General features: G+C 41.3%; 1 protein-coding gene across 5 annotated transcripts in view, besides 1 other annotated feature; it reads left to right on the top strand.

Annotated features, from left to right (window-relative positions):
* Positions 1 to 23798, top strand: part of VPS39 (VPS39 subunit of HOPS complex) — a 49604-nt gene that overhangs the window by 14200 nt on the left and 11606 nt on the right. For 3 of the 5 annotated variants that reach the window (NM_001301138.3, XM_011521403.3, XM_047432322.1), the window contains exons 3-12: positions 2007 to 2039; positions 2545 to 2609; positions 2938 to 2980; positions 4897 to 4991; positions 6249 to 6347; positions 6742 to 6834; positions 9405 to 9588; positions 15535 to 15655; positions 15767 to 15887; positions 20253 to 20382. In NM_001301138.3, the coding sequence (NP_001288067.1) occupies positions 2007 to 2039; positions 2545 to 2609; positions 2938 to 2980; positions 4897 to 4991; positions 6249 to 6347; positions 6742 to 6834; positions 9405 to 9588; positions 15535 to 15655; positions 15767 to 15887; positions 20253 to 20382 (984 nt within the window). The remainder of the gene's footprint in view (positions 1 to 2006; positions 2040 to 2544; positions 2610 to 2937; positions 2981 to 4896; positions 4992 to 6248; positions 6348 to 6741; positions 6835 to 9404; positions 9589 to 15534; positions 15656 to 15766; positions 15888 to 20252; positions 20383 to 23798) is intronic. The other 2 variants (NM_015289.5, XM_011521404.3) reach the window with 1 other exon arrangement.
* Positions 1383 to 1572: an enhancer, noted in NCBI's record as "active region_9296". NCBI's record gives its function as "activates an Ori minimal core promoter by ATAC-STARR-seq in GM12878 lymphoblastoid cells {active_cell/tissue: GM12878}" and the evidence as "EXISTENCE:reporter gene assay evidence [ECO:0000049][PMID:35858748]".

Here is a 23798-nt window from a genome sequence, read left to right as displayed (position 1 = left end):
TATTGTATTTTGACTTTTGGCAACACATCTTTTTAGTAATCTCATATGATATAATGGGAAGTACACATAAAGCACTTCTGCTGTGTGCTAGGGTGTGAAGTCCGATAGCTGTCTCAAGGGAAAAATGCTTATGTGATTGAGTTACGAGCTAAACTGGCTACTTTTTTCAGGGAGTATTATTTTTGTTTGAAAGAATGACAGGTTGTGGTTTTTTCAGACCATTTAGATATTTGGCATTTTTTTTTTTTTTTTTATGAACAAAGGGAATCTGTTACTTTAAGGTAAACAACTGGCAGTATTTGTTGTGAATGATAAAGTTAGAGCTTTTAAGAAAAAAAATAGAATTATGGAAAACTTGTGTTCACTCCCCTGAGTGTGACAGCTTCTCCATAATTAAAGATTTTTTCTGATGAGATTGGGGGTGATAATAATGAGTGTCATTTTTTAACATCCTATAATGAAATGTAGGTCTGGATTGGAAAATCTGCATAACTCAGTGAACCAGTATTTTCCAAATGACTAATGCATGAGTTTTAAAATCACGTATGAGTAAAAAATACATTCAAAGTGTAAGGTAGACCAATGTTTTTTTACGTAACAGAAAATGAAAAGTTCATTGACAGGTGTGAGATTTCGCTTTACAAGAAATTACATTTGTTAAGTGTTGGTGTAGTATCAAAGAAGAATCTGAAAAATCTATTAAAGTACTTTTCCCTTTTCAACTATGTTATCTATATGAGGACAGATTTTTTGTCATATACTTCAACCAAAACAAATTAAATTATCAAAACAGATTAAATGCAGAAGCAGATGTGGGTTCTTACTTATGGGGTTATTATTGTTATTTTTAAATACATATATGTTTTTAAATGTATGTATTTAAATTTCTAACATAAATATTCATGTATATAACCCCCAAAAAAGTTCTTTGAGGTCCTCAGTAATTTTTAAGATTATCAAGATTTTGAGACAAAAAAGTTTAAGAATCTCTGCCTTAGAAAATTCTGTTTGTAAAGAGAATTATAGGCCGGGGGCAGTGGCTCACTCCTGTAATCCCAGCACTTTGGAAGGCCGAGGTGGGTGGATCACCTGAGGTCGAGAGTTCAAGGCCAGCCTGGCCAACATGGTGAAACCCTGTCTCTACTAAAAATACAAAAATTAGCCGGGCATGGTGGCACATGCCTGTAATCCCAGCTACTCCAGAGGCTGAGGGCACGAGAATTGCTTGAACCCGGGAGGTGGATGTTGCAGTGAGCTGAGATTGCACTACTGCACTCCGGCCTGGGCAACAGAATGAGACTCTGTCTCAAAAAAAAACAAAACAAAACAAAACAAAAAAATAAGAAAAGAGAAGTATTAAATGCAATAATAGGACGCTTTCAAGTGTAGGAAGTGTCTGAATTGTTTTTTTTTCTCATGAAATGTAACAGCAGAATACCAGGGCACACTCCCTGCAACTTTAGGGCCCTTTCTTCATCCCCTCTGCTGAGGGACACATGGAAGAAGTAAGACCAGCTTTGGTGGCATGAGTTCTTATGGCTGCCCCAAAGAGTCTCCCTGATTTCCAGAGGGCAAGGGCAGAGCTAGCTGTGGGGAACAACTCAGGTCAGCAGTGCGAGCATCCTGTCCATGAAGTAGAAGGCAGGTAGCAGGGCGTGGGTTCAGAGCACAGGCTTTAGAGTCAGCCTGGGTTTGCTTGTAGGCTCCCTCACTGGCTGTTACCTAACTGCTTTACCCCTCATGCCCCTCAAATATGAGCTTGGAATAATAATACCTACTTCTTGGGAGTAGTTGTGAGTTTACAGAAAAAAATATATATAAATTTTTAAACCCCGAACCCAGTATGTAGTTATTGCTTCATGATAGCTGCTCTGATGATGATGATGATAATTATTCTCTTTTTGACTCATTGGTGACTTTTGAGGCTGAATATTTTTGTCATCCCCAGCAAGGCTGAATTCACATGTTTTTATGGTATATAACTTTCTTCCCCTTTTTTGTAACAGTGCCAGCAGATGTAGCATCACCTGAAAGCGGCAGTAAGTGTAGACGCATTGAATTGCTTTAGCTCTGGAGATGGGTTTGAGTGTTTGCTCTGTCTCCGTGATACAGAACTTAGTTAGAATAGTTGCTGGAAATTAGTTGGTCTAGATCTAAGGATGCTTTGGGCTGGGTTTCATGGCTTGGGCTCTTATATTTGACTGTTACTTTTTACACCCTTCCTTGTGGAACACTTTGCCAAGGTACTGATTTTGCAAGATAAGATCTTCAGACTCACGAGTACCTTGCCGCTTCAGTGAACTTTGTGTGATCCTTTCTGCTGATGCCGAGTGAAGGTGCATGAAACGCTCTGCTCTAAAATTAGAGTTGAAAGCATCTTATAGTGCTTGTAAGAGAGCTGGCTATTTAGATCTCTGATTTTTAGTCTTTCAGGAACTTCCAAAGATTTATATAGGAGAGCAGTATGGAGCAGTATTTTTCTAGTAGTGGTTTTTCTATGTATCCCTGTATTTGGAACTACCAGTGTTTATTTGTTTTCCATAGGTTGCAACAGATTTGAAGTGACACTAGAGAAATCCAATAAGAACTTCTCCAAAAAGATTCAGCAGGTAAGCAGTGATGGCAGTCCTTACAAGAATATTTGACTTACATGAGACCCTGTCAGACTAGAACTTTGGTAATGTTATTTATTAACTCTGAATCCTCTTCTCTTTGACCTTCTATTTATGCAGGAGTGTCTGCTCATATATCATGTGCCTGAGATCCTCTCTCACAAGCAGAAATGATAATCACAGAAATTATAGTGCCCAGAAAAATCAGTGAGATCCCTGTAACTGGATAGGCTCCGTGGTCCCTTTTTATTACTGTTATTGAATGAACATTTGCTAAACCTTGTCAGAAATGTTTAATTGGGTCTCATGATTTCCTATTTTCCAGATCCATGTGGTTTCCCAGTTTAAGATTCTGGTCAGCTTGTTAGGTAAGAAAAGGAGTTGCATTTGTATCCTGTGTCTAACAAGAAAAGATATGACCTAATTAATCCTTTCATGGTTAATTTGATAGTGGTTACTTAACAATGAACTGACGTGTTCCAAACCTGGTATAACAGGGTACATGGTTAATAAAGGCAGCAGCATCCTCCATAGACTCGAACTCTTCTCTCCAAGGAGTCTCACTTTATTCATTCATTCGTTCATTGATCAAATATTTATTGAGCCTATTCTATGCAAAGTCTGGACTAGACATTCGGGATACCAAGTTCAGTGAGACATAGTTGCTATCTTTGAGACTTACATTCTGATTATGAAGACTAAATGACAGGAAGTAATCACGATACAATGTGGTAAGTTACAGTGAAAATTTATAAAAAGTGTTGTGGAATCTTGGTAATGGGAGGGACTATATTGTCTAGTAGATAACTAGACTTTCAGTAGGAAAAGAGGCCAGCAGCGTATCACAAACACAGGGAACAACTAGAACAAAGGCCTTGAGATGTGGCAGTTTGTGGCAAATTGTTTATTGTGGCCAGACTAAGGATATGTGGTGGAGATTGGCAGGATATCAGGTAAGAGACAGAGCAGGGCTACACTGTTGAGGCCCTCATGTGAAAAACCATGGTTTCATAGAAAGCAGCCAGTGAGGCCTTTTCTGGACATGCAGGGGACTAGCAGCTGATCTCACACTTTGCGCTGTTGACCCTGGGGCCCAAAGAGTAAAATCATGTTAAATGTTGTTCCTGGGTCCACAGATAAACATCTGAGGTAACTTAATCTTCATGACTAAAACTAGATATGAGGCCCAGGTAAAATGATTATTTTGATTGCTTTGCTAGGAAAGAAATCATTGCCATGGGTTAGTACAAAATGCACAGGGGATTTCCCTTTTCTAATTGGAGCCTCCTAATGTGAGTAGCTTTGAAAGCCATTTCTTGTATAAATACTGCATCATAATATTTCAGACTTGAAATGGACAGAGTATAAGAGTGCTTTGGACTGGGTGCAGTGGCTCACACCAGTAATCCCAGCACTTTGGGAGGCTAAGGCAGGAGGATTGCTTGAGTCCAGGAGTTTGAGACCAGCCTGGGCAACACAGGGAGACCTCATCTCCACAAAAAATAAACAAAATTAGCCAGGTGTGGTGGTGCATGCCTGTAGTCCTAGCTACTCAGGAGGCTGAGGTAGGAGGATCACTTGAGTCTCAAGGAGGTTAAGGCTGTAGTGAGCTGAGATCATGCCCCTTTTGTTGATGCACTCTAGCCTGGGCAACAGAGTGAGACCGTGCCTCAAAAAAAAAAAAAAAAAAAAAAAAAAGAGTGTTTTGGAAGTGAAAGATCTCTTTTACTCAAGTCAGCCCCAATTTTTTTTTTTTTTTTTTTTGAGACGGAGTCTCACTCTGTCGCCCAGGCTGGAGTGTAGTGGTGCAGCCCTGGCTCACTGCAACTTCTGACCTCCTGGGTCAAGGGATTCTCCTGCTTCAACCCCCTGAGTAGCTGGGATTACAGGCACCCACCACCATACCCAGCTGATTTTTGTATTTTTAGTAGAGACAGGGTTTCACTGTGTTACCCAGGCTGGTCTCAAACTCTTGACCTCAAGTGATCTGCCTGTCTCAGCCTCCCAAAGTGCTGGGATGACAGGTGTGAGCCACCATGCCGGGCCAAGCTCAAATGTTTAAGGAAGAAAATATCCAAGTTTAGAAGACCAAGTGACCTCTTAAATGCTTTGTACTGGTTATAGGTGAGAATGAATCATCCTAGTGAAACTGAAGGGACATCTTCAACCAACATCTGCCATTTGCTTCTTCTAGATGTTAACACAGTTACTTTTTTTGCCTCGATAGTGGCTATGCTAGAGAATTATGATCATTGATCCTGATGTTATACCTCCTCCCAAACAGAAAATAACATTTATGTCCATGACCTATTGACATTTCAACAAATCACTACGGTTTCAAAGGCAAAGGGAGCATCACTGTTTACTTGTGACCTCCAGGTAAGTTTACCCAAGATGAAATTTGGCTTTATGCTTTAATCAATACAGTCTTTCCTACATCATTCCTACCATTAGATGGGAAGAATGACACTGATGATCCATACCCAACAGAGACTCCAAAGATTATTTATTTATTTATTTTTTTCCTGAGATGGAGTCTTGTTCTGTCGCCCAGGCTAGAGTGTAGTGGCACGATCTCGGCTCACTGCAACCCCTGCCTCTCGGGCTCAAGTGATTCTCTTGCCTCAGCCTCCTGTGTAGCTGGGACTACAGGTGTGCACCACCACGTCCGGCTATTTTTTGTATTTTTTTAAATTAGAGATGGGGTTTCACCATGTTGGCCAGGCTAGTCTCGAACTCCTGACCTTAGGTGACCTTGGCCTCCCAAAGTGCTGGGATTACAGGCATGAGCCACTGCACCCGGCCCAAAGAGAATATTTAATTGTATTAGAGAAATTTCTCTGTTGGTGCATAGTGTGAAGTTGAAGCGTTTGCATTCCCTGTGCGTGGGTTAATGAGAATCTAATACTATTGGCAAGAGGCAGCTAACCGAGGACAAAAACTCTCGTCCTGGACAAACCATTGTTGGGAAAGCAAGACTGTAACAATATCATGAAGATAATTATAAGACATTAAATGGAGTCTTGTTCTAAACAGATCACTGAGGTCTTTGTCATTAGGGACTTTTCATTGTTCAGAAAAGATATCGCTCTTTATTTTTGCCAATTTATCATTCTTTTATTCTTCAGAATCTGCCTCACCCCTCTCTCTACTCAACTTACCATTTTTTAGCATTTATGTTCTACATTGACACTGCATCATTTTATGCTTAGGAATACTCTTTTCCTTGCTCTTTAAAGGCTTAAAAGTGGGCTTGATGTCACTGGCACATGGTCACCCTTAACCCAGCATGCATTGACAGCCAGGAGCAAGAAACATTTAAGAGCAAAAAGGAGGGAGGAGTTATATAGGGGAAGGACTGCCCCAGGATTTTCTCCTCTGAATTGTGAATGTCCATGTGATTTGCTGGTGCTGTGGTCTTTGGCTGGCAACCCTTCGGGAGGAAGTGTTCCTCAGTCACTTGTTTCTTAGCGCATCTTAGAGAATGGTGTTCTGCTCAGCTTTCCTGGCAGGATGACTGTGTTACAGGGAATTTTCAGAGTAGTAGCAATTTCAAGGTAGACAATCTCTAATTTAGTTATCACTCAGTTAGAGAGAGTCATTGTATTTTCATTTGCTCTGCATGTCTCCTCCCAGCACACAGAGACCGGTGAGGAGGTGTTACGGATGTGTGTGGCAGTAAAAAAGAAGCTGCAGCTCTATTTCTGGAAGGACAGGGAATTTCATGAATTGCAGGTAAGTCCACTGTTCCTTGGTCCATGGTTGGGTGGGAGCTGCTGCAGTGGCTCGGTTCTAGTGAAGTTCAGGACTCCAGTCTTGTCATTCTACGCAAATGAATACTCTGGTATGAAGTGCATGAGAGCTTGTTGATGCCTACTTGTAATATGATTCTACAGTGTTTTTATAGATTGGTTTATTTCAAAGTGGGTTTTCACCTTTTCCAAATGTACTTTGTCCAGTTCATGGACTTGTATTTTTATTAAGGGTAGTTTCCTGGCCTTGTGCCTGTAGAATTGTGCCCGATGAGGGTGAGGGTTGTTTTGCAGAATGGAGGTTGCAGAATAACAGGAAAGTCATGATTTTTTAAAAAAATATTTATTTCATTCAGATCCTTGCTCTCTTTTTTCAGGGGGACTTTAGTGTGCCAGATGTGCCCAAGTCCATGGCGTGGTGTGAAAATTCTATCTGTGTGGGTTTCAAGAGAGACTACTACCTAATAAGGGTAAAATCTTATTATTTTGCAAATATCATTAGTTTATCTTGGGGAAGATGATTATCTGCTCCAAACTCCAGGTCAAGCGACCACTTTAAGTAGAGCTTTTGGCATAACAGGATTTGTTATTTGTATGTGTAGTTATCATTCATGCTCAGCATTTTTCACAAATAGGATATCTTTGTAACTTAAGTCAGTCCAAGAGTCAACGCTCAGTTCTTTACGTAATGATGATCCACAGTGTGTATTTTACTATTGGGACAGATAATGAAGGCTGTTTGCCTCTGTCCAGTGGATCATCATGGACTGCTATCCTAAGGCTTCAGTGCTTAGGAATTTTAAACTAATTTTAGTATAAACTTAAGTATTTTTAAGACTTTGAGTTTCCTCTCCTGCCGTCAAATCTTTTTGTATGTTTGTACTAAAAGTGATTCTCACTATTTTTTTAAATTTCAAAAGCCACGTGTTTTTACACGTGTTTATTACAGAAAATATAGATAAGGAGATAAAGGAAGTGCAAATCAACCATAGTCCCCCCACTCAGAAATAGTCACTGCCAACTTCTTGGTATATGAACTTCCATCCTATTGGTAAAAATACTATGCTATACAATTGTTTTATGACCTGTGTTTTCTCTTAACGTAAGTTGTAAATATCCATGACGTTGTTTTTCTCCAATATGCATACTATATGTAGAAAAGATTGACACACTGTTCGTTTCATTGAATAATCTAAATCTCTTAGCTTCACACCCCTTGTAATTCAGACATGGCAATTCTAGAAGCCTCTCTCTCTACCTTCCACTGGGTGAGCTCTTCATTGGTTATTTTATTTTATTTGAGACAGGGTACCCCTCTGTCACCCAGGCGGGAGTGCAGTGGCAGGATCTTGGCTCACTGCAGCCTCCGTCTCCTGGGCTCAAGCAGTCCTCCCACCTCAGCCTCCCAGGTAGCCCAGATGCCTACCACCATGCTCAGCTAATTTTTGTATTTTTTTTTTTTTTGTATTTTTGTAGAGATGGGGTCACAATATGTTGCATAGGCTGGTCTTAAACTCCTGGGCTCAAGCAGCCCTCCTGCCTCAGCCTCCCAAAGTGCTGAGATTACAGCCACCATGCCTGGCCCCATTGTTATCTTGTTAATATATTTGTTCCATCTTTGTGTCATTTGAATATCCTGATTTTATCAGCATCAGAGTTGCAGACTCCTGGAGGAGTCACTGCTGTGCCACTGACTCAATAGCAAGTAGGCCTACAGATGGTGAGAGAGCGCACAAGGAATAAGGGAACTGAGCAAAAGCTGGACTTAAGGCTCTCAGTTCTCTGACTGCCTTGGATGCTGACATCACCTTCAGGGTGGGAAACCTTGCTTTAGGACCAGGCTATTCAGAAATTACTTATTTACATACAGTAAAATTTATTCTTTTTGGTGTACAGTTCTGTGTTTTGACAAATGCTTAGATTTATGTGACTAATGCCACAATCGAGATTCACAACACTACCATCACCCCCCAAAATTCCCTCATATTGAAGTCAGCCTCTCCTTCTGTTCCTAGACCTCTGGTAACCACTCATCTGTTCTTCATCTCCTATAGCTTTGCCTTTTCCAGAATGTCATATAAATTGAATGACACAATATGTAGGCTTTTGAGTCTGGCTTCTTTCACTTAGCAGAATGCACTGGAGATTTATCCATGTTGTTGTGTGTGTTAATAGTTTATTCTTTCTCATGGCTGAATAGTAGTCTATGGCAAGGTGTTTGTTTATCCATTCATCAGTTGATGGACAAAGTTGATTTTGGCCAGGCGCGGTGGCTCACACCTTTAATCCCAGCACTTTGGGAGGCCGTGGCGGGTGGATCACGAGGTCAGGAGATTGAGACCATCCTGGCTAACACGGTGAAACCCCATCTCTACTAAAAATACAAAAAAAAAAATTAGCCTGGCGTGGTGGCACACGCCTGTAGTTCCAGCTACTCAGGAGGCTGAGGCAGGAGGATTGTTTGAACCCAGGAGGCGGAGGTTGCAGTGAGCTGAGATTGTGCCACTGCACTCCAGCCTGGGCGACAGAGCAAGACTGTCTCCAAAAAAAAAAAAAAAAAAAGTTGTTTTCAATTTTTAGCAATTTTGAATAAGCATCTAAGACATTTGCATACAAGCGTTTGTGTAAACATACATTGGCATTCCTGGGCAAATGCCTGGGAATGGGATTGCTGGGGCATATGGTAAGTGTATCTTTAAGGGGCATATGGCAAGTGTATCTTAAACTTTGTAAGAAACCAACAAACAAAACAGCTGCACCATTTTGCATTCCCACCAGCAGTGAATGTGAGTTCTAGTTGCTCTGCATTCTTGCCAGCACCTGGCATTGTCAGTTGCCAGGCTAGATGCTTTCCTTTGCATTAGAGAACGGGTTTTACATTGTGATAACAACGGTTATTATAATAAACTCTGTAACATTTTCTTATGTCAAACAAGGAATATTATTGGCTTCTCTAGGTTTCGGGTTCTATCTGGATTTTTCCTGTGTTCTTACCTCTGGCTGGGGAATGCTAGGTGACTCACTCTGTTTCTTCCTATAGGTGGATGGAAAGGGGTCCATCAAAGAGCTCTTTCCAACAGGAAAACAGCTGGAGCCCTTAGTTGCACCTCTGGCAGATGGAAAAGTGGCTGTGGGCCAGGATGATCTCACCGTGGTACTCAATGAGGAAGGGATCTGCACACAGAAATGTGCCCTGAACTGGACGGACATACCAGTGGCCATGGGTGAGACCAACAGTAGCTGCTGTTTCCCACTTTGGGTTGAGGTTGTGTGCCATTCCTGCAGAACGGAGTCCCATTCGTAGCTTTAGCAGACTGGTTTACGTTGTGTCATTCACTTTCAGTTCCCCTTCTTATAAGTAGATGACATTTTAGGGTCATTAAAAATGGGATAGTCTAGTTCTTGCAAGAAGCTGAGTTTTACTCCAGAGGGGGAAAACATATAAACAGAAATGTTTATTTTAGGAAGTGATTATCTACTGCTATCTTTTACTTCTTAGTTTTTTTCTTCCTCCTTTTTTTAAGAGTTTTGATTGTGTCCTCTGCCAAATAGACTACATTTGGAAATTAGTGGAAATTCCTTGTGTATTCCTATAGTATGAGTAATTCCATATTGAAGGGTTTTTGATATAGTAATTCCATGTTGAAGGGTTTTTCTATTGTTGCTTTTTTTTTTTTTTTTTTTTTGTAGCTTAGAGGCACAGACAACATTTAGGTGATTTTGGTGTCAGCCTCTATTCTACGCATTAGGTGCTTCTGTTCTTATGCTTGCTTCAGGTTCCCAGCTCTCCACAATGGAATTGCCTGGAAGCATATAACCACTCTTGCCCCATTTTATTTTCAGTCGGAAGAGTGAGCATTACTAAAATAGTTACTGCTGTGAAGTGGGACGTACTGACATGCTTTCTGTCTTTAAAGACCCCTGTCTCTGGAGACAAGGGTTACAGTCTTGGATAAAGAGACAAAACAAGGCACTGCTTAAGGTGTTAAATTGGATGAGTTAAAATTCAGTAGTTCAGAGAAAGGGAAGTTTGTTGTTTAATTAGGAAGAAGTTTCATTACATAGGTAAGACTGAACTATGGACTAGGTCAGGCAGGGAGTTTGGAACCTGGCTTGAAGAAAAATTTCCATTCAATCTAGGCAGAAAGCCCAATAAATGAGTAGAAGTCCAAAGAAAGACATGCCGATTTGGGAGAGGGTATTACAGAGCCTGACTTGATACAGGTGGTCTGAATTACAGAGCAGTGAAATAGGGCCAGTTGGTAGATGTCCGTGAGAAGGTCTGGGAGGCCAGTAGATTCCTGAATGGTAGAATGTCTTGATAAAAGCATCATGTTCTGGCCGGGCACAGTGGCTCACGCCTGTAATCCTAGCACTTTGGGAGGCTGAGGCAGGCAGATTGCCTAAGCTCAGGAGTTCACAATCAGCCTGGGCAACATGGTGAAACCCCGTCTCAAACACGAAAAAAAAAAAAAACTAGCTGAGTGTGGCAGTGTGTGCCTGTGGTCCCAGCTACTTGGGAAGTTGAGGCAGGAGAACTGCTTGAAGGGAGGGGGAAGTTGCGGTGAGCCGAGATTGTGCCACTGCACTCCAGCGTGGGTGACAGAGCAAGACTCCCGCCTCAAAAAAAAAAACAAAAAACACATCATGTTCTAGGGTGATTGTTCTGGTTGTGGTTAGAGATAAGTAGACTAGAAGGAAGAGAAATCAAAAGGTCAGTATTTTAAAAGGCCCAGGATTATGGATAGTCACAAGTTTGAGGGGCTTATGGAGCTTTATGAGAGGCTTTCCCGATGTTCTAGGCGACCTTGTTTTCCCTTCAGAAGAGGAACTTTGGTAGATGAGTTTAAGAGGCATGTAAAAGTCAAGCGTGTTTCTGATTTCCCAGGATGAGAGTTCCTGTCTTCCAACCTTCGTTAGTGCCTGGGGCCTTCATCAGTGCTTCTCAAAACCATGTCTGTGTCTTACTGCTGAAGAAAGTTTTGAGGCACTTGCCCTGTGAGGTCTCCTTTGACCCACAGGCAGGATTAGTCACTTCTTGGTGCTTCCCTAACCCTTTCAGGTATCTCTGTCACAGCAACTTGTCACACGTGAGCGATCTGTCTCCTCTGTTCCTGTAGGAGCTCTGTGAGGTCTGGATGCATGTCTTGATCCACTTTGAGTCCTTACTACATAGTACAGTGCCTGAAACATCAGAGCGTGTAAGAAAATGCTTGCTGAATAATTGCATCATTATCCTGGTCAGTCATTATTTATATGCCTGCTGTACACCAGCCAGTCTCCCAACTTTTGGAGATATAAAGAGATCCAGACCATCTCTATTGTCAACAAAAGATATGACAACCAAAGGGGTTTCTGTTATAGATTACCTTTTTAATTAAATGAGAACGTATTCAAGTGGGACAGATTTTAAAAGGAGAAAGAAATTTTACATATGTTATACAAGTTAGCACTAAAGAAAATTGTACTAACTTTTCAAAATGAGGCCAGCATAAAAATAAAATAAAAAATTCAATATAAAACAATATGCTTTTAATTTCATTTTTCTGGTAAGATGAAAAATATCAGTATAATAGCAGTAGCGTTCAAAATGATAGAAATATAACTTAGTTCTCAAGTTACTCATTTCTGAGTTCCCTCATAGCTTTGAAATTTTATTGTACTATTCATTGATAGTATAAATTGCAAATATAATAGGAAAAACTTTTTATCAGAAAATGGATAATTAAACTAGTGCAGCGACTCATGCCTGTAATCCCAGCACATTGGGAGGCTGAGGCAGGAGGACTGCTTGAGCCCAGGAGTTTGAGACCAGCCTGGGCAACATAGTGAGACCCTGTCTCTACAAAAAATACATTTAAGAAATTAGCTGGGCATCGTGCTGTACGCATATATTCCCAGGACTTGGGTGGCTGAGGTGGGAGGATTGCTTGAGCCTGGGAGATGGAGGCGGCAGTAAGCCGTGATCACACCACTCACTGCATTCCAGCCGGGCCTATAGAGAGAGACTCTGTCTCAAAAAAAAAAAAGGATAATTAGAAATATTAGCAAATTAGACACACTAAGAAATTATTTTTATGAATATATATTTTGAAGTTAAATTTCTATGTGGTAATTATGCATCTAGTGGTTTGCTTTTTACTAATTTTTTTACTTTTAAAAACATTTTTATTTTTAAATGTAAAAAACACATAACATACAATTTACCACCTGAACCATTTTTAAGTGTACAGTTAAGTGGTATTACGTATGTTAACATTGTGGTACAATAGATCTTCAGAACTTTTTTATGTTGCAAAACTGAAACTCTATACCCATTAACAACTCCTCAGTTCTTCTCCCTCCAGTCCCTGAAGCCACCATTCTCCTTTCTGCTTCTATGAATTTGACATCTTCTAGATACCTCATATAAGGGAAATCATACAGTATTTGTCTTTCTGTGACTGCCTTGTTTAATTTAGCATAATGTCCTCAAGGTTCATGCCTTCCTTTTTAAGGCTGAACCTTAAAAAGGTAATATATATTCCACTTAAAAAGGTAATAAAATAATTACTTAAAAAAGTAATAATATTCCACTGTGTGTATATACCACATTTTGTTTATCCATCCGTTCGTGGATACTTGGGTTACTTTCACCATTGGCTGCTGTGAATAATGCTGCTACGAACATGTGTGTGCAAATATCTCCTTGAAATCCTGATTTTCAACTGTTTTGAATATGTACCCAGAAATGAGATTCCTGGACCATATGGTGATTCTATTTTTAATTTTCTGAGGAACCACCATACTGTTTTCCATAGCGGCCGCACCATTTTACAGTCCCACCAACAGTGCGCAAGGGTTCCAATTTTTCCATATTCTTGTCAACACTTGTTATTTTCATTTTTTTAATAGTAGCCATCCTAAAGGCGTATGAGGTGATATCTCACTGTAGTTCTTTACGGATTCTTGATATAGCACAGAATATAGTCATAGAAAATATTTCTATTATCTCTAAGTTAGTGAAATTATGTTTCATATAGTATACAAACAATAAATTTATCTTACAGTTCAGTGTAAGGTAAAGCAGATCCTTATTCAGTCTTGTTCTGAGATTTGTGTTTTTAAAGATATGTTTTGTGTTGCTTATTTTCTAAATTCCCTCCATTTATGTTAAATCTCCTTCACCATACAACTTCTCAAATATTGGAAGACTTGATTTGCAATGATTTTATGGTTTTGTCAGTCTGCTTTTTGCATGCTGACTTCTTTAGCACTGTGTGGAATTGTTCTGCTTCATCCAGCATTTTAAGCTTTGGACTGTCACATGCTTGTCAAAAAGTACAGAAAAATATAGTGGATATATTAAAAGTTATTTTCAAAAGAGAGAGGAAGAGTGAAGAAAAGGAGTATAACCCAATAATTTGTACTGGATCAGAAGGGTAAATTTGGGGTCATGGATAGATGAATGAAAGGTTTTTTTTTAGATATAATAGAGGAAAACAATTTTAAGACTCGACAGCAAGTATCAAATAGAAATGCCTTCACTGAGAAGTCCATCCAGCCACCTTCTCTGTGTACCATTAAGCCATGTCTTAGTTCATTTGTGCAGCTATAACAGAATACCACAGACTAGGTAATTTATAAAAACCAGAAATTTGTTTCCTCACAGTTTTGGAGACTTGGAAGTCCCAGATCAGGGTGCCGGCATCTGGTGTCTGGTAAGGGCCTTCTTGATGCTCCTTCACATGGTGGAAGGAGAAGGGTAAGAGAAAGATGAGCTCTGCATTCTCACATGGCAGAAGAGAGAGAACCCACTCCACAAGCCCTTTTTATAGTGCATTAATCTATTGATGAGGCTGGAGCCTCACCACCTAAACACCTCCCATTAGGCCCCACCTCCCAACACTTTTGCACTGAGGATTAAGTGTCCAATGCATAAGTTGGGGAGGGAATAAAAATAGCCAAACCATAGCAGCCATCAGGTGGAGCATCACACCTTTTCTCTGTGAAAATCTCTAGCAGAAACAACATTGGCTAGAAATGTGGAACTCTTCCCTTAGAGTAATTTTAGGGAAAACAGAATTTGCCTTCCCCCTACCTTTCTTTTTTATTTCTTTTTTTTTTATTTTTTATTTTATTTATTTATTTATTTATTTATTTATTTATTTATTTATTTATTTATTGAGATGGAGTCTTGCTCTGTCGCCCAGGCTGGAGTGCAGTGGTGCATCTCGGCTCACTGCAAGCTCCGTCTTCCAGGTTCACGCCATTCTCCTGCCTCAGCCTCCCGAGTAGCTGGGACTACAGGCGCCTGCCACCACGCCCGGCTAATTTTTTTGTATTTTTTTTTTTTAGTAGAGACAGGGTTTCACCATGTTAGCCAGGATGGTCTCGATCTCCTGACCTCGTGATCCACCTGCCTCAGCCTCCCAAAGTGCTAGGATTACAGGCGTGAGCCACTGCACCCGGCCTTTCCCCCTCCCGCCACTTTTCTAAGAGAATGAAAGAAGAGGTTCTGTTACCTGGTTCTCCCACTGATGCATTGTTATGGGCAGCTGCAACTGGCCTTTGTCTGGCCTGGCTTTGTGACTGATGAAAAAGGAGCAAGTGAAACTTTTATCCAGTTCTTTGGGGAATAAGGCAGGAGTGGGATCAGGTGACTGTCAGCACAGCTGATGTGTCTTTTTTGTGCAAGAGATTTCTCTGATCATAACTCAAGCAAAGCAATTTTTTTTTATTTTTCTTTTTTTTAGAGTCAGGATCTCACTCTGTCACCCATGCTGGAGTGCAGTGGTGCAGTTATGGCTCATTGCAGCCTCAAACTCCTGGGCTTAAATGATCTTCCCACCTCAGCCTCCTGAGTAGCTGGGACTACAGGTGTGCACCACCACACCTGACTAATTTTTTAATAAATGTTTTTGTTGAGGCAGTGTCTCACTAAGATGCCTAGGTCGGTCTCAAACTTCCGGCCTACGTGACCTTCCCACCTCAACCTCTCAAGTTGCTGGGATTACAGGCCAATTTTTTTTTTCTTTCTTTCTGAATCACAGTGTAAGATCCTGGCTTGATATTTGACTAGGGGACTTTTTGGAGATCCATTTAAATGTATCTTAGAATGGGCAGCTGAAACACTCCATAAACCCAAAGCCTTAGACCGGAACAACTGCTGTGTATGTTCTCTTTCACAGAGCACCAGCCTCCCTACATCATTGCAGTGTTGCCTCGATATGTTGAGATCCGAACATTTGAACCGAGGCTTCTGGTCCAAAGCATTGAATTGCAAAGGCCCCGTTTCATTACCTCAGGAGGGTAAGGAATTTCTTTTTTTGCTATGGCTGTATATTATCCCAAAGTTGTAAAGTCACCTGTGTCATCACAAAGCCTGTGATCTTTTGCTAATATTCTTACTCTTGCTTCCAGATCAAACATTATCTATGTGGCCAGCAATCATTTTGTTTGGAGACTCATCCCTGTCCCCATGGCAACCCAAATCCAACAACTTCTCCAGGACAAGCAGTTTGAATTGGCTCTGCAGCTCGCAGTAAGTCTTGTTCCTGACTAGTCTTCCTTCCTTATTGTTCTTGAAAGTAGGTGATTTGGGTTTCAATGTTCATATTTATTTTGGGTTAGTAGAATAAGCACATAGCTGAAAGTCCAGGGCCTTGAATACTAGGTCTGACTCCACCGTAAAATATCTATGTAACTCTAAGTGAGTTTACTTTTTCACTTTATCTGTCAAATGTAGAATGAATATCAATTCTAGTAATAGTACCTTGTAGAATTAAGGTGAGAGTCCGGGAGCAGTGGCTCACGCCTGTAATCCCAGCATTTTGGGAGGCCAAGGCGAGCAGATCACCTGAGGTCAGGAGTTCGAGACCAGCTTGGCCAACATGACAAAACCCTGTCTCCACTAAAAATACAAAAATTAGCTGGGCATGGTGGCAGGAACCTGTAATCCCAGCCACTCAGGAAGCTGAGGCAGGAGAATTGCTTGAACCCAGGAGGTAGAGGTTGCGGTGAGCCAAGATCATGCCACTGCACTCCAGCTTGGGTGACATAGCGAGACTCTGTCTCAAAAAACAAAAAAAAAAATTAATGGGAGAATAAAATAATTTAATATATTGTATGGTCATGAAAAATTAAAGATAATGGAGACATTAAAGTTTAGTAGCAATCATAAATATACTGTTATAGTAAAGTTGAATGCAACAACTAGAGGACCCCTCAAAATTCCTTTCCACAGTAGACTCCTATGTTTGGATAAGTAGGCTTTCTTTTGATATTCTGAAACTACTTCAAGTTGTTGTATTCAGCCAGGCGGCAGTCTTATATTTATGATGCTTACTGTAATGTTTGCAAGGGATCTTGTTCACAGCAAAATAGTGACCACCTCTTGTTCCAATGTTGATGTCAGAGTCTGTGTCTTGTTCTTTTAAACATCGTCAGTGATGATTATTGTCATCTGTAGGGGGTGGATTTGCTTTTAGGAAACAACCAAAAGTCATTCTGAGCCTAACCTAGTTGTTAAACCAGATATTGCTACTTTATGTATTTGGGGGTTTTTTGAGGTTTTTTTTTTTTTTTTTTTTTTTTTTTAAAACAGGGTCTCACTCTGTCACCCAGACTGGAGTGCAGTGATGCAGTCTTGGCTCACTGCAGTCTTGACCTCCTGGTCTCAAGTGATCAGCCCACCTCAGCCTCCTGTGTTGCTGGGACCACAAGCATGTACCACCACACCCAGCTAATTTGTTTATTTTTTGTAGAGACAGGGTCTCACTTTGTTGCCCAGGCTGGTCTTAAACTCCTGAGCTCAAGTGATCCTCCTGTCTCAGCCTCCCAAAGTGCTGGGATTATAGATGTGAACTACTATGCCCAGCCTCAGATAGTGATACTTTAAAGAAGAGATGTTTATGAAGATAATAGTAATAAAACTGAATTTCTAGAGTATCCTGTAAACTATTTCTAAAAGGAAAGCACTTTTTTAGAATGCAGATACTTTAAGTTACCTATGGTGGCTACTCGTGAAGAACATTTACTTTGGACATATATGTTCTGGATTTAAAATAAAAATCTGATCTTAATAGTAAGACATAGTTAATATTCCATAAAGATGATTGCTTTCTTAGAGCACTGAATTTCAGCATCTTACTGTTTTTTTTTCTACTCATGCATTGTCCTATATTATTTTATTTTCATTTTTAAAAATAATACAGTGAATACCCATGAACTCACCATCCTACCCAAGAACCATAACTTTTATAACTTTTTATAATCCTTCCCATCCCATCCCTCTGCCTCTCCTCCAGATGTAATCATTATCCTAAATTTTGTATTTATCATGACCTTACTCTTTTACATATATATTTAAAATATAAACATATTTAGTATACGTTTAAAATATATATTTAATGATTAAACACATATGTTTAATCTTTTACATATATTTAACATATGGAAGTAATGTATTTAGTTTTTGATAAAAAGGTTATGCAGTATGAAACTCTTTAGTCTATTTTTCTTAGCAGAAAGGTCTCAGAGTCTTTTCAGTGATCTTCCTAGTTCAGGTTGTTTAATCTCAGGTAAAGAAAATGGAAGTGGGTTCCCATTTTTCCTTCTCTTTTCTAGGCTCATACTTATTTTGTGCTCTGCCCTTTTTATGACAAAAAAAGGTTGATTGACATCATGTTAGTCCAGGAAGAACCTATCTTTTATTTAAATAGATACACAAACATAATGGAACTTTCAGAGGGAAATTACAAACTAAACTTTGGCATTGATAAGTCCTGGAGCCAAGTGTCAGAGAGGGACAGTTCGCTGTGGGCTGGAAAAGGCATCCTACGGCTGGACACTTGAGTTGACCGTTTAAGAATATGTTAGATTAGGATCAAGAGCAGGAAATGGAACATTCCAGATGGAGAGGAAGTTAAAGAAGTGTAAAGTGTGGCCTGTGTCTATCGCATTTGGAGCCTGTCCTGACTGGAGAAGAAGGTATGGCCTAAGTGTTTGGGACTCAGCTAGATAAGGAAGCTGGCACCAGGTTTTGGAAGCCTTTGAAGCACCAAGCAGGAGAGCGGAGACCAGGGACAGCCACATGTTGATGATGGCTTGGACTAGTGTGGCGGTAATAGGAAAAGAAAGGAAAGGGGGAAATTGAGAGACATTTTGAAAGAAAAAACTAAATTTGATAAAGATTGGCTAAAGAGGTATAAGGGGAAAATAGGTTATGAGGAAGAAGCAAAGCTCATAGCAGCTGCATTTGTTTAGCTTTTACTGAGAATAGGACCTTTCCCGACCGTGCCAGCTATGCCAGATGGCTTTCTGTTTTTTTTCTTTCTTTTTTTTTTTTTTTCCCGAGACAGAGTCTTCCTCTATCGCCAGGCTGGAGTGCAGTGGTGCAATCTCAGCTCGCTGCAACCTCCGCCTCCCGGGTTCAAGCAATTCCCCTGCCTCGGCCTCCTGAGTAGCTGGGACTACAGGCGTGCGCCACCACGCCCAGCTAATTTTTTGTATTTTAGTAGAGACGGGGTTTCACCATGTTGGCCAGGATGGTCTTTCCTGACCTCATGATCCGCCCGCTTCAGCCTCCCAAAGTTCTGGGATTACAGGCGTGAGCTACCGCGCCCGGCCCATCGGATGTTTTTCATTCCTTGAGTACACTGTGCTCTCTCTGCCATTTTAAAGCCTTGCACATGTGCTGTCTCCTTTGCTGGGGAGTACATGCTCCTCTTCCCCTCCCTGTCATCTGCTCAGCCTCATTTAGCTAACTCAAACTCATCCTTTTGTTTGAGATGGAGTCTCGCTCTGTCACCCAAACTGGAGTACAGTGGCGTGATCTTGGCTCACTGCAACCTCCGCCTCCTGGGTTCAAGCAGTTCTCCTGCCTTGGCCTCCTGAGTAGCTGGGATTACAGGCACATGCCACCATGTCCAGCTAATTTTTGTATTTTTAGTAGAGACGGGTTTCACTATGTTGGCCAGGCTGGGTCTCAAACTCCTGACCTGAGGTGATCTGCCCACCTCGGCCTCCCAAGGTGCTGGGATTACAGGCATGAGCCACCGTGCCTGGCCCAACTCATCCGTTATGTCTCAGTTTAGGTCCCTCTTGGAATCCATCCTGGACCCCGGACTCAGACTGGATTGGGGACCCCTCCCACATGCTTATCATCACTCTTACCCTATTTTGTGTTTTTAAACTAAACTCTAGGTTTTATTCAGATTTGGCCAGTTTTTCTATTAGTGTCCTTTTTTCTGTTCCAGAATCAAATCCAGAAATCAGATTGCATTTAGTTGTCATGTGTCCTTAGTGTCCTCTGGTCTGTGACATTTTATCTTTCCTTGTTTTTCATGACCATGACAATTTTCAAGATTACCGGTTAGGCATCTTGTAGAAACCCTGTTGTGTTTTAATTGCGTAGTTACTTAGCAGTCTTACAGTTAGACTGTAAGGGCAGGCTGCAAGGTGGATACCATGTGGCTGTCTTGTACACTTTGTTTTATTTTTTATTTTTTTTTTGAGATGGAGTCTCACTCTGTCACCCAGGCTGGAGTGCAGTGGCATGATCTTGGCCCACTGCAACCTCTACCTCCTGGGTTCAGGTGATTCTCCTGCCTCAGCCTCCCGAGTAGCTGGGACTACAGGCACGTGCCACCACGCCCAGCTAATTTTTTGTATTTTTAGTAGAGACGGGGTTTCACCGTGTTAGCCAGGATGGTCTCAATCTCCTGACCTTGTGATCCGCCCGCCTCGGCCTCCCAAAGTGCTGGGATTACAAGCGTGAGGCACCGCGCCCGGCCTTGTCTTGTACACTTTGGTGTCTGTAGCTCCTAGCATCTTCTCTAACATCAAGAACATACTGAACAATATTTGTTGAGTGAGTGAACTCTTACATATTCTGCTCCGTTATTAGGAAATGAAAGATGATTCTGACAGTGAAAAGCAGCAACAAATTCATCACATCAAGAACTTGTATGCCTTCAACCTCTTCTGCCAGAAGCGTTTTGATGAGTCCATGCAGGTCTTTGCTAAACTTGGCACAGGTAACAAGTGGTGAGGCCTTTATATAAGGGACTAATGGAGGAGGGGAGCCTGAAAAGTATGGGGAGAAATGATAACAGACTTCTGAGAATGGAGAAGGTTTAGGCTCAGCTAAATTGATCCTCATACCTAGCAAGATCCTGTGGGGTGACCACAGTGGTTACATATCTATACTCCTAATCCTATGAATCTGGTCTTCTCAATAAATGTGGACTCCCAATTTTCCAGTATGATATGCCCTTGCCATTAGAGAAAGGTAGCAGAAAGTCATTCAGTTCAACAAATGGGTATTTGATCAGCTAGTGTTTATTGAATGCTGTTCTGAACCAAAGTCCTTGGATTAAACTGCAGATCATTTATGAGAGCCAACACAGGGCAGTGCCATGAAGCTCTTCCTTTTCTTAATGTCCTGAAACCTCTAGACATGAGTGTAGTGGCGAGGAGCAGGTACCCTGGGGTCTGCCTGAGGTCTGGTAGAGTTACTGGACCTCTCTGTGTTTCTGCTTTCTCCTCTGCAAAAAAGAGATGATCATACTACTGCTTGCTTTAGAGTGCTGCTATAAGGATTATATGAAGTGCTTTGAACAGTGTGTGGCACTTAACAAGTGCTCTGTAAGTGTTTGATGTTATTAGTATTGAATTTCATTACTGTATATTCAAAACTGTATATCCCAGTTTTGCTTAATTTGGATCAATCTATCTATATATACTTGGATTGACTCTATATCATACTAGCATCTCCTCTTTTCTCCTCTTCATTGCTTTGCCTTTTTTCCACCATTCCTCAACCTTGGCCAGTAATGAACTGTGGTAATTCCCTGTATCAGTCAAGATTCTTGGTTGTGAGCAATGGAGACCAACTCTGGATCGTTTAAGTAGAATCTGGATAAATTAAGCAGAGTTTATTGGAATATTAGGGTAATGACAGTTGAAAGAATTCATAAAATTGATGGGAGATTAGGCTGGGGAATAGATGGAAACGAAGGGAGCTCTGGAAGCCCTCCCAGCTGGAAACAAAACAGGAAGCCAGACAATGATCAGTTTGTAGCCAGGACAGGCTGGGCCATCCTGCACTAGCATAGCCACCTTCTTAGCCGTTGCCACTGCCACTTCCCCTGTTGTTGCATCCTTGATAAAAATTGCCCTCTGCTAGTGTATTAGCTGTCTAATGCTACGTAAGAAATCTCCCCAAAACTGTATGGCTTAAAGTAACAGTAATCATCCATCTCTGTTAGTACTTGTTGGTCCGGAGTTTGGGAAGGGGTCAGCTGCACTGTCCTTGCTTCAGATCTCTCAGGCAGTTGCAGTTTTATGTCACCTGGGCTACCATCATTTGAAATCGGGGCTAGAAGATCCACTTCCAAGCTGGCTCACTCATATGGCTGAAAAAGTGGTGCTGGCTGGAGCCAGGGGCCTCAGTTCTTGTCCAAGGGGGTCTCTCTTCAGAGCTGCTTGAGTGTCCTCATGCATAACAGCTGGCTCTTTCCGGAAGGCGTGTTTAAGAGACCTAGGCAGAAGCTTCAATGTCTTTTGTGACTCTCACTCTTCCTATATTCTGTTGGTTTACAAGGGTCCTGCCAGGTTCAAGGCAAGGAAGTTCATCAGACTTCCTCTCTTGATGGAGGAGTGTCATGTTACCTAAGAGGAGCACATAGGATGGGATGTATGATATATGTTGGTGTGTACCACGCTACTTGTCATCCTTGCATCATTTCCTCCAGATCAAGGGATCTGATTAGCCAGGATTAGGTCATGGTCTGACCCCCAGACTCTACTAGGGGTGGAGAAAGAGGTTTGGCTCCCCTCTGCTTCTGAAGGCAAAGGTAGGTCCCTAGAGCTATCCTACCACCAAGACTCCACATAGCCTGGAAGAGAGAACTTGCCCTTATCTGAAGTACCTAGAGTAGGCAGATTCATGGAGACTGTAAGTAAAATAGAGAGGTTCCCAGGGGTTGGAATGGAGGGAGAATAGGGAGTAATTGTTTATTATTAAGGTAGTTTCAATTTGAGATGATGGAAAAGTCCTGGAGATGGATGGTGTGATGGTTGCACAACAGTGTGAATGTATTTAATGCCACTGAATTGTATGCTTACAAATGGTTAAAAGGATAAATATTGTGGCATGTATATTTTACTACATATAGACACACAGATTGTTGGATGAGCTGAATGAGCAGAAGACAGGGTTCCACTACTGGACATTGATGTGGGCACATCCCTGTGATCCAGAGGTCAGCAAGTTGCTACTGCTTCCACAGCCTAAGCCCTGTAGTATCCTCAGTTCCCACAGAGCTGGTGACTGAGTGCAGGCTGCTGTATCCAGGCAGGTGCCTCTATGGAATGGCAGAGCTGATAACCAGACACTGGAAATGCCGAGTCTGGCTGCACACACTCATGAGCTGGAAGAGGGAGGCTTCCATCTCACTTTCAGTTTCCAAATCTCATATCCTGTTTCTGGGTGGAACCAGATTTTCACTTAGAACCCTGACTGCTAGGGAGTTTGATAAAAGTAGTTTTCAGTTTTATAGCCCCTGTGGACTATAAAGGAGTAGAAATGGATGGGAAGTGCCAATTGACCATACACCATAGTGTTCCACAGCATTGATGCACTGTAAATTATATAACCAGCCCCCAGTCAGTGAGGGGATATGTTGGCTACTTACAGCATTTTGCTGTTACAATCTGGGAGTGGCCAGGTACAGTGGCTCATGCCTATAATCCCAGCATTTTGGGAGACCAAAGAGAAGAGGATTGCTTGAGCCCAGGAGTTCAAGACCAGCCTAGGCAACATAGTGAGACCTTGTCTTTACAAAAAATTTAAAAATAATTAGCTGGCAGGATAGTACATGCCTGTAGTCCCAGCTACTTGGGAAGGTGAGGCAGGAGGATCACTTGAGCCAGGAGGTCAAGACTACAAGAAGCCAAGATTGTGCCACTGAGCAAAACCCTGTCTCAAAAAAAAAAAAAAAAAAAAAAAAAAAAATCTGCGAGCATCTGTGAGAACACCATAAATTCTAAGGCAGAAGGAAAATGTCACCTCTTTGACATTGTTAACGTGCACCATTTTGATTCTTAATATAGCAGAACATTTTCCCACATATTTATATTCTCTTGTCAGTTGGTCTTGTCTTTTGGTCATTTGTCAAATGAAGTCTTACATTTTATTGCCAATTTATGTGAATTTGTTTAATCAACATATTACCCTCTTTTAAAAAATTTTTTTGAGACAGGGTCTCCACTCTTGCCCATGCTGGAGTACAGTGGCATGATCACAGCTCACTGCAGCCTCGACCTCCTGGGCTCAAGCGATCCTCCCACCTCAGCCTCCCAAGTAGCTGGATACAGGCACATGCCACCATGCCTAGCAAATTTAAAATTTTTTTGTAGACATGTGTTCTTACTATGCTGCCCAGTCTTG

The sequence above is a fragment of the Homo sapiens genome, chromosome 15, assembly GCF_000001405.40.
Source record: "Homo sapiens chromosome 15, GRCh38.p14 Primary Assembly".
NCBI classification, from domain to species: domain Eukaryota; kingdom Metazoa; phylum Chordata; class Mammalia; order Primates; family Hominidae; genus Homo; species Homo sapiens.
Note: the sequence above shows the minus strand (reverse complement) of the source record. Positions and strands in the feature narration are given on the sequence as shown.